Here is a 14,888-nt window from a genome sequence, read left to right on the forward strand (position 1 = left end):
TGACATCAAATCCATCCATTGTAATACACTGATTTTCACTTTTCAACTTAAAAACCTGGACATTTATCACTACTCTCCCTTTCTCTTGGCCTAGTCCTTATTTAAAAAAAAAACCTACCAATCTAAACTAGGATATTTATTTTTCTATAATACAATTTCAAAGGCATTTTAAAAATTTAACAATTTTTAAACTTTCTATGTCAATGATTTTAAACTGCGGTCTCTCAAAACAAATCCAATACCTTTAGTAGGAAAAATTATGTTAATTCCTACACTATCATTGGGTTGAGCCAAGAGTTGATATTAATAGATATGCTTATTTATTACCTTGTTCTAACAGTTGTAGTGTAAGTCTTGAAAATCAAGTAAAAATTTGTAAAGATTGTAATTGCACAAACTCCCTCTCATGAGTCACACAGTTAATCCAAAATATTATTTCTAAATTATAAAGCCAACAAGTAAATACAATGTAGTGTTTAAAAATAATCCTAATAAGTATATTCTAGAAGTGAAACATTAATTGATACTATTTATTGAATATCTCCTATTTATTTACATAGAAACAAAGGAAAAGCATATTATGTAACATTCAAATGACTAAAAATACTTGAGATAGCATTGCTAAATGCTATGTAAATGCTGACAAAAGTAAAAATGCCATTCGCTACATTTGCTAAATATATTGTGACACATTATAAGTATTTTAAAGATATATCACTAATGCTTGGGTCAAGTGGGCAAAAATGATTCTAAGTATTTAATTGCGGAAAAATTTAGTACAGAGGATAGTATTCAAGTGATGGAAAAATTTAAAGTGGAACTCAGAGATTAGAAGCAGCAGGAAGTTTTAATAACGTACCAGGTGCAGTGTATAGGATACAAGACAGAACTGCAGGTAAAGTCTGACTCTTTCCAGCATAGCTAGGAGACATGGCTAACTCCACCTGTCCCCCAGGCCTTACCTAGAAGTTGAGCAGCTCCAAACCAGGTAAACAGAACAATTTTCCAAAGTCAATCAATTTATGACGTTAAAGCACTTCTAAAATTTAACCTCTGACTTAAATTAGACAAAATGGATAAATTTTGATGATTTTTTTTACCAATGATTTTAACACTGTCTTTATTTCCCAAAGATTACTGAAGTCATGTGAAATAAAAGGCATTGGAGATTCTATTTTTCTGACAAAATATTTAAGAGCCGTCCTTTTCTTCTAAGCCAAGTAATTAGGGCTCCTTTACATATCCAACACATACACAACACTTCTAGACAGGAGAAGATCTAGCAGTTGTAAGTTTTTCTTTCTCATTTTATGAACCCTAGCACAACTTCCACAGACCATCTATGACATGAACTTTCTGACTTTTCCTGTATTTCCCTCTTTCATAATTAGTCATTCTACTTTAGGACAAGAATTTGCCATACAAGATCCTCTCTCATATAACATTTCTTTCCTTCATAACTTTTTTACCATAAATACATCTTCATATCCACAACTTTCTTTAGATCTCTCTCCCCGACTGATTTCTGATGCCCAACCAAACCTAAAAGGTCAGATAACGCAAAACAAAACAGAGGAGAGCCTTAGATTTTGAGAGAGACCTGTCTGCCTGAAGTTCTTGGGGTTCCATGAGGACAACAGAGGTTTCTCCTAAAATGGGTTTTGTAGCACCTTCTGTTTTTCTTTAAGGAGTCCCAGGCTGTCAGAAATTACCGTAGATCCTCTCATGTGGGCACTGAGTGGCAACAAGACAGACTAGGGAACAGTGGCAACAAGACAGACAACTGAGCAGAAAAAGAAAAACTTACTACAGTCCCCACTGTAAAGATGGATAAACTGAGGCACCAGGCAGTTTAAAAATTCATGTTACATAGAGTTTGGCTCCACAGCTCACTCTCTTAACCATCCTGTAATTTTGCTGAATCTATGCCCAGTCACTGATGCACCTGTATGGTACCTCATGGCCCCCTTAGAGCTTAGAACCTGGGTTTCATTTCTGCTCTACAGCTATAGAATTTAACAATTTTCCTCTGAATTTGTTGGATTCTAACCCTATATTTCTAAAATTTTATTAATATTACTGAATCTTAAAGGGAGCTGTGATGTCTTTAGTCTTTAGAAATATTAAATCTATAAACAAAGGACTATATGAAGTTAAACTGTATTCAAATTTCTACATGCTTTAAAACATTGAGGCAACGTATTAAGAAACACACCTAAGAAACTGCAACCAATCTACTCTGGACAAAAATTTAGATACTATCTCTTCAAAATAAGCTACCTAGTGGTATTTATACATATTCTTCCAACAGTATCTTACATGCTCATAGCCTTAAAAATAACTAAAGTGTCAGAATTATAGGCATTACACATTTCTGTTGGCTTGAAAAATGATACAAAATGCATAAACCTCTAGAGTGATCAGTTTAATAAAAGAGTTCATACCAAAGGTAATAATACTAGGAATCAAAGAGGGCTAAACACTGCAGGTTCTTAAAGGCAAAAGTTAATAAAACCTTGTTTTTGGTTGTGAATGTTTACCTTACAACATTAGACACATGATTCTTCCCCTTTCTTTTTCCTCTTGCAAAGATGTGGTGATGAACCCTTTGCTCATGCAGATGACAATACTCTTGAAAATGGTGGCAGAAAAAAAAATGAAGGGAATATGGTTCAATTAATCATCTCATAAATTAGAACTTATTACCCCTGTGACTCTTGCATAGCTCCAGAAAAAAATATGTGAGAGAGATGAAATGGCTGTTTGCTACCAATATTTTGTGATGCTTCATTTTTTGATTCCTTGAATAACACATTAGTCCATTTATGCCAGAGGTTGCAATTTTTTGAATTTTTGCATAAGTGAAAAATCAGACCTTGCCGATGACATTTAACAGTAAGATATAAGTAATTTCCACATGCTTAGCATGGAACACTAGGCATAAGTGGGTTGACACAATTATGAAAACATGGCTATTCAAGTAACTAATTATACAACTGATTTTTTTTCCTCATCTCTAAAACATAGTAAAGGATCAGTTATTTAAAAAACACAACAGTGACAAGTATTTTATTTTTAACTCAGTTTTGGTTTGTTAAGGCCATTGCTTGGCATAAAAATACAAAAACAGGAGGAGAAACAAGAATACAAACATGAAATAGAAGCAGTAGCAAAAGAAAATGAAGAGGAACAAGAAAATGAGAAGAAAATACACAATGGAAGAAAGGAAAAAGAACAGGTGTGGGAATTAGAAGGCCTATCATATGACACTTTTTATCCCCTGCTCGATTCATAAAATTTGAGTAACTCCAAGAGTATCACAACAAAAAACAAGCAAAAGGATACATAAATAGTCACCCCCTAAATTTTGTTAAGAATGAGATAATGCTGCCACTCACGCCTAGCTCAGGCACCAGCAGGAGGAGGGCACTCTCCAGAGATTGCAGAAGGGGGAGGACTCCTCTTTGTCCTAGGTGTACCACCACCACTGCCACCGAGGCCTTCGTTACAGCACCCACAGGTTCCTCCCCACCCCAGAACGGGATGGGCCCTGCAGTGCTCCTACTCCCCCTTCCCAGCCCCCAGACTTCCTACTGCTACCACCACTAGCGCCAATGCCAATACAACCAGTCACCCTCAACGTACCAGCCCACCCTACCAGGCTCCTACCTCCAGGCCCCCGTGGGTGCCCTCCTACCGCTCCAGTCGAGCTGTGGTCTCCATCTCCACCACCAACTGCATGAGGCAAGCTGCAGAGCCACGTCATCTGCTCCACCGTACCACAGGCGACTCCTCCTTCTCCTCCTTCAGCCTGGCTTGGAGCAGCTGGGCAGGCAAAGCCAGAAAAGCCGAAAACAGGACTCAGGGATTGGAACCATTAGAGCCTCACCTCGTTATGCTGGTGACTGGGTGTCAGGGATCAGTTTCATTGAAGGCACTCACACCCACCTTCCAAAGTCCAACCCCTCCTGGCAAAAGCTGGCCAGGAACTGGGGCCTGGGGTGGGAGTGAGTGCCTTCACTGAAACCGGCCCCTGGCCAAGTCCAGCTGGCCAGGAATTGCTGGGCCCACCAAGGCTGCCCTCCTCCGGGAGCCTGAGTAGGAGAAACTCAGACCCAGCCAGCGCTCCCCACCCAAGGGCTGGTTCCCATTCCTGACACCTCCACCCACAGTGCCCTGTCTCCCACTTCCCCCATGGTGCATACTACTCCCTGCCTGGTAGTCCCAGGTGGTCTTCGCAACACAAAGCATGAGGGCAGGCCGGGAAACCACAGTGGGTGTGGAGGCCCTACCATGCAATCCAGCTCGAGTGGAGAAAATCGCCTTCTAGAGTCTGGAGTCCGAGAAGAGGAAAACCATCCCTTACTTGGAAGCTATGAGAAGAAGGAGGCCACTGCTGTCACTGCCACTGCCACCTCCTCAGCTCGTCAATGCCGCTGGCAGTGTAGCCCCCATGGCACCCCTAATCTGCCCCCTGCCACTAGCAGTGTAGCCCCCAGATAGCACATCCAATACATCCTACAGTTTCAGGCAATGTAACCCCAATATCCCCCCACAAAAGCACTCCCCCCACACCTCAGGGAGCATACCACCCAATAGTGCCCACAATCTGACCCAGCCACGGGCAGTTCAGCTCCTAATGGTGCACCCCCCAGTCACAGACAGTGCAGCACCCAACAACGCCCCTAAACCACCCCCACTGCCAGCATTGTAGCCCCAGTTAACTCCACCCAACCCACTCCCTGCTGCTGGCAGTGCAGCAGAAGATAACGCCCCTAATCCTTCCCCAGCCACCAGCAATACAAGCTAGTGTACACAATCTGCCTCCCCTCACCACCCCTGCCACCACGGGCAGTATAGCCCCAGATAGCCAAGCAACCTGCCCCACCACCAGCAATGCAACCCCGGAGAGTGCCCCCAACCAGACCACTGCCACAGGCAGGGTAGCCTCTAGCAGTGAACCCCAATAGGACACCCAACACTTGCCCCCAGAGGCACACAGGGCAGGCCAGGAAAACTCACCTACCCCATCACGTTTCTACCACTGTGGCTAAGCTGCAGTCTCCGACGTCACCACCAACCACAGCGAGGCAAGCCATGGTGGCACAGGTTCCAGCCTCCAGCATGTGGCAGTGCCTCTTCCTTCTAGTCCTCCAGCCTGGCAGGAGAAGCTCCTGCTGCTGACCGCTCTCCTACTGCTCTATCGCCACTACCAACCGCAGCGAGGTAGTGACCCAGGCTCCAGGCTCCATCCATCCTCCACCCTCCAGCAGGTGGAAGGTTGCGGCTTCTTCCAGTTCTCTAAGCTGGACACAGAGTTGCTCCTCCGCTGGACACAGAAGAGCCTGAAATGACCTGACGCCACCTCAGCATGCTTTATATATGAGGTTATGCAAATGCAGTTCCTGGACTACATGTTCTGATTGGATGAGAAAAAAAACCTCTAGGCCTACTCTGATTGGACTTTATTTTCATGCTGTGATTGGTTGTGTTAAGACTTGCTCTCATCCAATCAGAACATGATCATAAAGTCCAATCAGAGTAAGCCTGGAGGTTTTTTTCTCATCCAATCAAGACATGCAGTCCAGGAACCTCCGTGGGCATTACCGCAGTATATAAATGATGCTGAAGCGGAAACACGTTTTTTCAAGTTCCTGTATTTTTATGTGGAGTTGCTCACTGCCCAACGTAGAGGACTAGGAATCAGGAGTCGGTGGCCGTATGCTGGAGGCTGGAGCCGCGGGAGCGCGGCTCGCCTCGCTGCGGTTGTTGGCAGTGACGGAGAGAGAGCAGCGCGGCTGGAGCAGGTAGGAGAAGGAAAACAGTTTTGGGACAGATAGAGGGGAGTAACGAGGGTAGTTAGGGCCAAAGGGAAAAAAGGATAGCTTAGCCGGAGAAGGCATTGCAAAAAGATGGCAGCGAAAAGATGGTGGGGAAAAAAGTTTTTGGGTAGATGGAGGTGTAAAAACAGGGTGGGGAGCGGGAGGGAAGGAAGGTTTTGCAGAAAGACGGTGGGTAAAAAGTTTAAGGGTAGATGGAGGGGGAAAAGAGGGTGGCAGGTGGGCGGAGGAAAGAGAGGGAGGTGATGGGGGAAAAGGGGGGGGAAGGGAGAGAAGGTTTTGTGAAAAGACAGTGGGGAGAAAATATAGTGAGGGGGAAAAGTTTTTGGGTTGAACAAAAGAGGGTAGCAAGTGGCAGAAGGAAAAAGAGGGTAGCCAGCAGGAGGAAGACAAAGTTTTGTGAAAAGACAGTGGCAGAAAAGAAAGATGGTGAAGAAAGAAAAGACGGGGGGTGAAAAGTGTTTTGATAGATGGAGGGGGGAAGAGGATAATGAGGAGGAAAGAGGGTGGCGACAGGTAGCAGGGATGGGGGTTGGGAAAACAACGGAAAAATAGTTTGGGGCAGAGGGAGGGGAAAAAGGGTGGCAAGCAGGATAGGGGAAAAAAGAGCACTAGTGGTAAAGGGGGGAGACTTTGAAAAGATGGTGGGGAAAGTTTTGGGGTGTAGATGGAGGGGGAAAGAGGGAGGTGAATAGCCGTGGGGAGAAGGCTTTGTGAAAAGACGGAGGGAAATGTTTTTGGGTAGATGGAGAAGCGAAAGAGAATGGCAAGGAGGAACGGGGAAAGACGATGAAGAAAACAGTTTTTGGTTGGATGAAGCAGGGAAAGAGGGTAGTGAGCAGCAGGAGTGGAGAGAAGGTTTTGGGAAAAGACGGGGGAAAATGTTTTTGCTTAGATAAAGGGGCAAAAGAGGGTGATGAGAGCGGGACGGGGAAAAAGAGGGTGGCCAGGGATAAGGGGAAAAGAGGGTGGGAAGAAACTGGGGAAAGGGTTTGGGTAGATGGATGGGGAAAAGGGTGTTGAGCAGGAGAGTAGAGGCGGCTTTGTGAAATGAGGGTGGGCAAAAAATGATGAAGTTTGGGGGCAGATGGTGAAAGAAAAAGGGTGGTGAGAGGGAGGGGGCCAAAGGCCGTTTGGAAAAGAAGGTAGGGAAATAATGGTGGGGGACAAAGGTTTGGGGTAGATTTTTTTAATAAGATCATTTGTATGTTTGCTTTTCAGTAGTTTGAGTTCTTTATGCATTTTTTGTATGAACCCCTTGCCTGATGCATGGTTTGCAAATACTTGCTTCCATTATCTGGGTTCTTTCATTTTTATTAAATTTTAATTCAATTTAATTTTTTTTAGACGGAGTCTCGGTCTGTCGCCCAGGTTGGAGTGCAGTGGCACGATCTCCGCTCACTGCCAAGCTCTGCCTCCTGGGTTCACGCCATTTTCCTGCCTCGGCCTCCCGAGTAGCTGGGACTACAGGCGCCTGCCACCACGCCAGGACACTTTTTTTGTATTTTTAGCAGAGACGGAGTTTCACCATGTTGTTAGCCAGTATGGTCTTGATCTCCTGGCCTCATGATCGGCGCCCCTCAGCTTCCCAAAGTGCTGGGTGTACAGGGGTGAGCCACCGCTCCCTGCCTGTTTTTTCATTCTACTGATTGCTTCCTCTGCTTTGCTGAGGCGTTTTTTTTGTTTTTGAGACGGAGTCTTGCTCTGTCGCCCAGGCTGGAATGCAGTAGCATGGTCTCAGCTCACTGCAAGCTCTGACTCCGGGTTCACGCCATTCTCCTGCCTCAGCCTCGCGAGTAGCTGGGACTGCAGGCGCAGGCTACCAAGCCCGGCTAATTTTTTGTATTTTTAGTGGAGACGGGGTTTCACCGTGTTAGCCAGGATGGTCTCAATCTCGTGAACTCATGATCTGCCTGCCTCGGCCTCAAAAAGTGCTGGGGTTACAGGCGTGAGCCACTGAGCCCGGCCTGGAAACGTAACTTTATTTTTTAGTGTTGTATTTGTGCATATACTTTAATAGCCCTGAGTTTTAATAAAGTTGCTTTTAAAAAATGTATCTTATATTTCAGAAATACACCCTAAGGCATGTGATTAGTTGGGTGGCATGTTGTTTAGTTTTTACAATTGAAGGATTGTCATTCCTTTGTACAAAAAAAAAAAAAATTAAACGTGAATTTTTATCATATGCTAGAGGAAAGAAGGCAGATACTAAATAATAAATATTGTATGCTTCCACGTAAATAAAATTTGAAATTATATAAAGACAATGCATTAAACTTTTCTGGGGTTGAAGTGGGGAATTCACTGGCAAAGGTCTTGCAATAAATGTGTAGGTGAAGGGAATATTCTATATTTGATTGTGTAGGTGGTTATCTAGCTTTATAAATTTGTAAAACTGAACTGGACTAAAATGTGTGCCTTATACGCAGATTATTCTATAAAACTGATTAAAACTAGTTAGAGAATCAGTCAAGGGGAAAAGAAAGAAAAGGCACGTGAAAAAATGCCAATGCACTAGAATTATCTTTGATGACATTAAATATAGCCTGGTCTTCTCTTAATTCTTTTTAAAATTTACGTAGATTTCTCAATCCTTTGATACTTTTTCCTCAACACATCTTATATTCTCATATATGTTAATGTATGGCTACATAAGAGAGGGCTCTCTTACAGTTGGACTGGAACAGCTTGATATTTATATCTAGAGATGCATCGGAAGCATAACACTGACCCGTGAGCAAGATGAAAATGGCATGTGCTAGTTAGTGATTCCTAATGTTGCTTTAAGTTTAGTGCCAACTGGTCTACATCGTTGAGAATGTTTAGTTTGATGGTTTACACAACTTGGCTTAAGAAGTATATGACCAACAATGTATGAGGGAGCCTGCTGTAAAGACTTTTCTGCACTTCCCTTTAATTATTATAGTAAGCTCAAATCTTGAAGGTTCATAATATACAGATAAACTGTGTCCGTGAGACTGAGAAAGGATCTTTAGGGAGAAAGGCCCTGTTCCTGAAAGACAGACATTCAATGATTTCCTGCATTTTATTTCTGTTGTACTTTACCTTTACCTTTATTAAACACTAATAAGGTGGTTCTTACAGGGCCTCATAGGCCTTTTTAGTTTTCCAACCTATTCATACTTGGTGCAAACCTAGTAATTTTTTGCGTGATAGTGTTGGGATTTTACTCTGAGGCTAGGCTTCACACTGTAAAAACAGCTTTTTGGAATTGTATCATTTTCAGTCTTCCCATCGTGTTCCACTGTCCCAGCCACACACACACCAGATATGAAGACTACAAGCAACCGCGAAAGGTGTAACACATGTATAGTAGATGTTTTTACCTCTTGTAAAATCTAAGGAAAATATACTAAAAATGAAGGCATCAGTAAAACAGTATCATTTTAGGTTGACCTCGAGTATTTCAACATCAGTCTAGCTTCAGAACAATACATTTGCAAGGGGAAATGGTGTACTTTTGTGGTTTTTTTACACCTGTTATTTCAATTGAAATTGAAAAAAACTAATTTGAACTAACTATAACCATAAAAAGAAGGTTTTGTCAGTATTGAAATAAAATAAAATGCATTTGTGGGACTGACCTCAGGACGCATTTTAAATAGTCAATACTACCTCTAAATCTCATTCCCCCTTCTCTGAGCATCAGCTTTATTCTTATTCCATCTTTAATTTGGCACTGACAGATACAGACTCATTCTTACAACATATACCATCAGAAGTGAAACCTTCACTCTCTCCAACTCTTGAAAAATCTGAGATGCACTTTGACTATTCTCAGATCATGGATCTATTACTTGGATCAAAAAGTATTGCACAGGGAAGTAGATACTATGATCTCTGACATTACAGTTTCAAGGTTGGAGTGAGAAAGGGATAGCTCCCTAACGAGGGAGTATCATAGAAATGATATTTTCATGGTTATACTTTTGTGAACTAGGCAGACATCCCTTCATGTCAACTACATCTCTACTTTGAACAGATAAATATCCATGCATATACAAAATTATACAGTAACATAAGCATGACTTTTCATTAAAATTTTAACCAAAACAGTCTATTTAGGTGAATAAATATCGATACAGGAGATAGTTTTGCTTGAATGATCTTTTACCCTTGGGGAGACATACATAAAAGAATGTCATACTTTATTATGAAATGACTGTCCAGCATATTTATGAGTAAACTTTCATAATTTCTTTATTGTCTAAAATAAGCACAAAAACCCTTTTAGTTAATTAATATCCCTTTTTGATATACGGAATAAATATAAGAAAATAGCACAAATGGTATTATGCCAGCACACAGAAAAAGTTTCTGTTAAAAGTCAATCCTGTATTTTGAGAACTTGACAAAATCATAATTGAAAATAGTGTGTTGTCTTACATGCAGATGTTGTGTAGTCAGGGACATCCAAATCAACCTACATCCAAATATTTCACAATTAGTCTTATTCTGTGAAGTATTATAAAACCACGCTCTCAGGAATATAAAAGCACAAAGGGACCCAGGACTCCAAATAGCCATTTATTCATTTCCTAAGGTTAGGTACAATGAGGACTGCATTTTCAACATTATCAGGGCCATACAGACATTGGAGCTTAAGGATAAGATCCAATTTCATAGCAATCTGTTAAAGGATAAGCCAGCGTAATGACCCAGATGTTCACCATAATAATTACCATCTTGAGTGATGATGCTATGAATACAAAGGAACACTGCATCTCTAAAATAAACTACGTTTATATGACGAGACCAATTTGATGGAAAGAAGGCAAACTGTGAATGGTAATTTTGTTTTCATTGTGTGTACTCATCTGAAAATACAATACTATATAATTAGAAAACTTACAACACAAATAAGACTGGAAGCCTTAACTTTTTATATCAAATGTTCTGCACACAAATATAGCCTTTTACTGAAGATCTATGGATCCAAAATATTGGTAGCTATAATTATGCTTTGTAAAACAGAAGCTATGAATGCCTTACTACAGAAAGACACAAAGAATCATTTCCTTACTCACTGCTAGTAGACCCCGGGGCACAGCATTTCCTGCCCAGATACCTGATTATTAATCCAGTTTTTGCTAGGGGTATACTAACTAACTAACGGAGATTGGTGTTTAAACCAGTTAATGCAAAGAAATGCTGTAGGAACTGAAATATTCCTTTTAAATTAACAAAAGTGTTCTTTCTAGATAAAGTTACATGAGGACCCAAATGTATAAAAGAATGTTTTGTTATATGGTTTTAGTACTTTGTTAGTGCCAGGTTAAAGACATGTGGCCCTAGATAGGATAACTACAGAAAAGAATTTGTTTACCTGCTTCACTAGAAATCCAACAATTAAGTCAGTAACTCTATTTTCCAATATTCATTTCCTCCATTTTCTCATCTTTTTGATTGATGGTATCATTTCGTTATTTCATTTTCATTGACATGGAATTCATTTAGGCTAAAACGACTTTTTGACTATTTGTATATATATATAATTTTAAAATCAATGAACAATATTGTTTCTCTATTTCCAAGATTATCCCTCTATATTCTCTAAAGTCAATACCGTGAAACAGTCCAGATATGAGTCCAGGAATGGCAGTATGAAATACTGTAAAACTGGAAGCAACTTAGTAGGTAATCAATAGGGAAAATGAAACTCAATATAATTGACTCTAGTTAATGTAATGATGCATTTATTTTAGATTTTTCTTGCATTCCTAAGTCCTGCCTGGTTATAGTATATTACATGTTTTATGTATTGCTGGATTTTGATCGTTAGCATTTTGCTGAGGATTTTTTCCATCTATTTTTGTTAAAGATATTGTTCTGTGTTTTTGTTTTCTTTTTTTTTTTTTGATGCTATTGTATGGTTTTGTTATTAGGGTAATACTAGCTTCATAGAATAAACTGGGAAGCGTATTCTCTTTTTTTTTGGCAAGAGTTTGTAAATAATTGTATTAATTCAACTTTGAAAGTTTGGTAGAGGCATTCTTGGCTAGAAGATTTGTTGCTGTTGTCATTGTTTCCTGAGGTGGTAGTTTTGATTACTAAATCTCTTTACTTGATAAGATTTTATATTTCTCCTTGATTCATTTTTGCTAATTTGAATCTTAGAATTTGTCCTGTTCTTTAAAAAATCTAAATTTTAGATATAATTGTTCATAGGTACTTTTGTAATAATTTTTTATGTCTTTTAGTGTTCTTTTAAAAATTTCATTGATACTTGAATAGTTTCTCTTGTTGGTCAGTTTATGTAAATTGTGGCCACTTTTGATGTGTTCAAAGAAACAATTTTTGGCTTTGTTGAGGTTCTCAATTGTTTTTCTATTTTGTATTTCACTAATTTGTATATCCCTAATACTTCCTTGTGGTTGCTGTAGTTTTAATTTGCTCTTCTTTTTTCAGTGCCTTATGGTGGCAGGTTAGAGAATGTTATTTTTGAGTATGAGAACTACTTTTATTGCATCACGTAAGAGATATTATGCATTCTTAAAGTGTTTTATTTTTTTTAAAGTATTTTCTAATTTATCTTATTTCTTCTTGGACCCATTGGTTATTTAATAGCATGTTTAATTTCCACATAATTCTGAGTTTCCCAAATTTTCCTATTGCTGATTTATTATTTTACTCAGTTATTGTCTGAAAATATACTTTGTATTATTCCAATGTTTAAATTCATTGAGGTCTGTTTTATGGCCTGGGGTATGGTATTCCTGGGTAATATTGCATGTGCACTTGAGAATCTACTGTTGTTAAAGTGTTCCTTAAATATCTAATCAGTCTAGTTATTTTGTAGTATTGTTCAAGTGTTCTATTTCTTTGTTGATCTTCTGCCTAGTCATTTTATCCATTTGTGAAAGTGAGTATTAAAGGCTGCAAGAAGTATGTTAAATTGTCTAATCTTCATTTTTGGAGGTTTCTGTGTCAATAGATTTTGAAGTTTTTTATCACACACATATATATGCCTGTAATTGTTATTTATTTTTGAGATATTGGCCCTTTTATTTTTATGAAAGCTCTCTTTACCTCTGTAACCCCTTTTGTTTTAAAGTCTATTTTTTTTCTGATATTAATATAACAATTCCTGCTTTCTTGTGGTTACTGCCTGCATCATATAACTTTTCCATCCTTTTTTTCCTATTAATTTTCATGTTTGGATCTGAAGTATGTCTCCTGCAGACAACATGTAGATGGATCTTATTTATTTAATTTGTTTTTCTCCAGTCTGACAATCTGTCTTTTATTTGAATATTTAAATTCATTTTCACTTGAGGTTACTAGTATAGATTTACATCCATTTTACTTCAGTTTTCTGTATACCTTATGTCTTTTCATTTCTCTATTCCTCCTCCTTTCTTTTGTATTAGGTATTTTTTATAAAACATTTAATCTATATTTAATAATATCTATATTTTTTCAATGTTTCCCTTCATTGTTACTTTAGGGTTTACTGTAGACATCACAATCAATTTTAGGTGCATAACAATTCTAGTGGCATATATGTATATATAAATTTTACTTTTGTTCACTTTTGTGTACTTTGGCTCTCCTTTTTGTGCTATTGCTGTACACATTACATCTATATATGCTATATACCCAATAATTTATTGTTATAACTGTTACTTGATGATATGGTTTGTTGTTTTGTCCTCTCCAAAGTTCATTTTGAAACAATTTCAATGTGACAGCATTAAGAGCTGGAACCTTGAGGATATGATTAGGCTATTGGGGTCTGTCCTCATGGATGGTATGAGTGTCTTATAGAAGGGCTGGAGGGAATTAGGACCCTTTGCCTTTTCATCCTTTTCACCGTATGAAAATACAGCATTCGTCCCCTCTGGAGGATGCAGTATTCAAGGCACCTCACTAGACACCAAACCTGCCAGCAAATTGATCTTAAACTTCCAGCCTGCAGAACTATGAGAAATAAATTTCTTCTTTACAAATTTCTCAGTCTCTGGTATATATATGTATCAGCATGAACAGACTAACATACTTGACATAATTTTATGTCTTAAAAAGATAAAAAGAAACGTACTATGTATTTACGGCTTTTGTTACATTAGCAGTCTTATTTATTATTTCAGGTCTTTTCATTTGTTCAGCATTTGAAACTTCTTCCTGACACCAGAAGGGCTCTTCTTAGCTGTCTTTTTCCTGGGTTATTCCTGGTAAACTAGCTGACCTTTGTTTCAAAGCATATGTCTCTAATAAAGTGCCAGTCTCTCTTATTTGCTTTTTACCATCACTTCATTGTTTTTCAAAGTACGCTTATGGTTGAATTTCCCCAAACTCTTCTTTTGGGAAAAGCTTTACACTCTCTGCTCTATGTTCTGCCCCTTCCTTTGGGCAAAACTTCTGAGCTTTGGCTCTGGTGATTGTAGCAAAGAGAGCAGCATTCTCCTCTCGGAGTGACAGCCCTACTTTGAGACTGTCACTGGGATGGGAAGTAGCCGTTGGTAATCTCAGCTTTGCCACTCCTGGAATGAGAACTTTGCCTTACAGACAAACCAGAAAGAAGGCGATCAGGGCTCAGTGTTCTCAGTGTGTTGCACCCAAACAGTCCCCATTCCATGAATTAGAGCTGGTAGGAAGAAGTGACATCCTACTTCTTGGCCACATTCCACAAAAGCTTAATCTCAAGAACAGGTAGTGGCAGCAGGTGGGGGTTGAAATGAAAAGTTCGGATGTACTGTTACTCCCAGAAAGATACTATAGCCCCCCAGTGGGGTCTAGTAAAAGTTCTGTGTTCTTGGCTACATTGCATTGAGTAGAGTTTATGTCAAGATAGGCTATGAGAAAAAGAGGTAAGAATGGGTTGTGGATCAAATGCAAAAAACTCTTACTGTTCTTAGTGAGTTTCAGTAGATTTTCTTGAATAAATAGTTCATCATTTTCTATGTACCATTATGACTTTTCAAGTGACATAGGTGATGGTTGTTTTATAATTTTCAACAATTTTATAAAAGATCCATGGAGCTCTTCACATTGCCATTCTAGAGGTGGAACTTCTACATTTATTTC

At 39.4% G+C, this 14,888-nt stretch overlaps 1 long non-coding RNA gene and 1 pseudogene across 3 annotated transcripts in view, besides 1 other annotated feature; one reads left to right on the top strand and one right to left on the bottom strand.

Annotated features, from left to right (window-relative positions):
• Positions 1-516: 516 nt before the first annotated feature.
• The window catches only part of CCDC144NL (CCDC144A N-terminal like (pseudogene)), a 32,769-nt pseudogene continuing 18,397 nt past the window's right edge, over positions 517-14,888 (bottom strand). Inside the window, exons 3-4 of the transcript NR_164128.1 lie at positions 3,670-3,825; positions 517-2,631 (exon numbers count right to left, since the gene is read on the bottom strand). The product of NR_164128.1 is annotated as a CCDC144A N-terminal like (pseudogene) (transcript). The remainder of the gene's footprint in view (positions 2,632-3,669; positions 3,826-14,888) is intronic.
• Positions 5,338-6,228: an enhancer, noted in NCBI's record as "H3K27ac-H3K4me1 hESC enhancer chr17:20771529-20772419 (GRCh37/hg19 assembly coordinates)". NCBI's record gives its function as "activates a minimal SCP1, AML or CMV promoter by ChIP-STARR-seq in primed H9 embryonic stem cells {active_cell/tissue: H9 hESC(primed)}" and the evidence as "EXISTENCE:reporter gene assay evidence [ECO:0000049][PMID:30033119]".
• Positions 5,649-14,888, top strand: part of CCDC144NL-AS1 (CCDC144NL antisense RNA 1) — a 61,515-nt gene continuing 52,275 nt past the window's right edge. For both annotated transcript variants that reach the window (NR_160710.1, NR_104185.2), the window contains exon 1: positions 5,649-5,807. This is a non-coding gene — a long non-coding RNA (CCDC144NL antisense RNA 1). The remainder of the gene's footprint in view (positions 5,808-14,888) is intronic.

The sequence above is a fragment of the Homo sapiens genome, chromosome 17 (genome assembly GCF_000001405.40).
Source record: "Homo sapiens chromosome 17, GRCh38.p14 Primary Assembly".
In the NCBI taxonomy this organism is placed as follows: domain Eukaryota; kingdom Metazoa; phylum Chordata; class Mammalia; order Primates; family Hominidae; genus Homo; species Homo sapiens.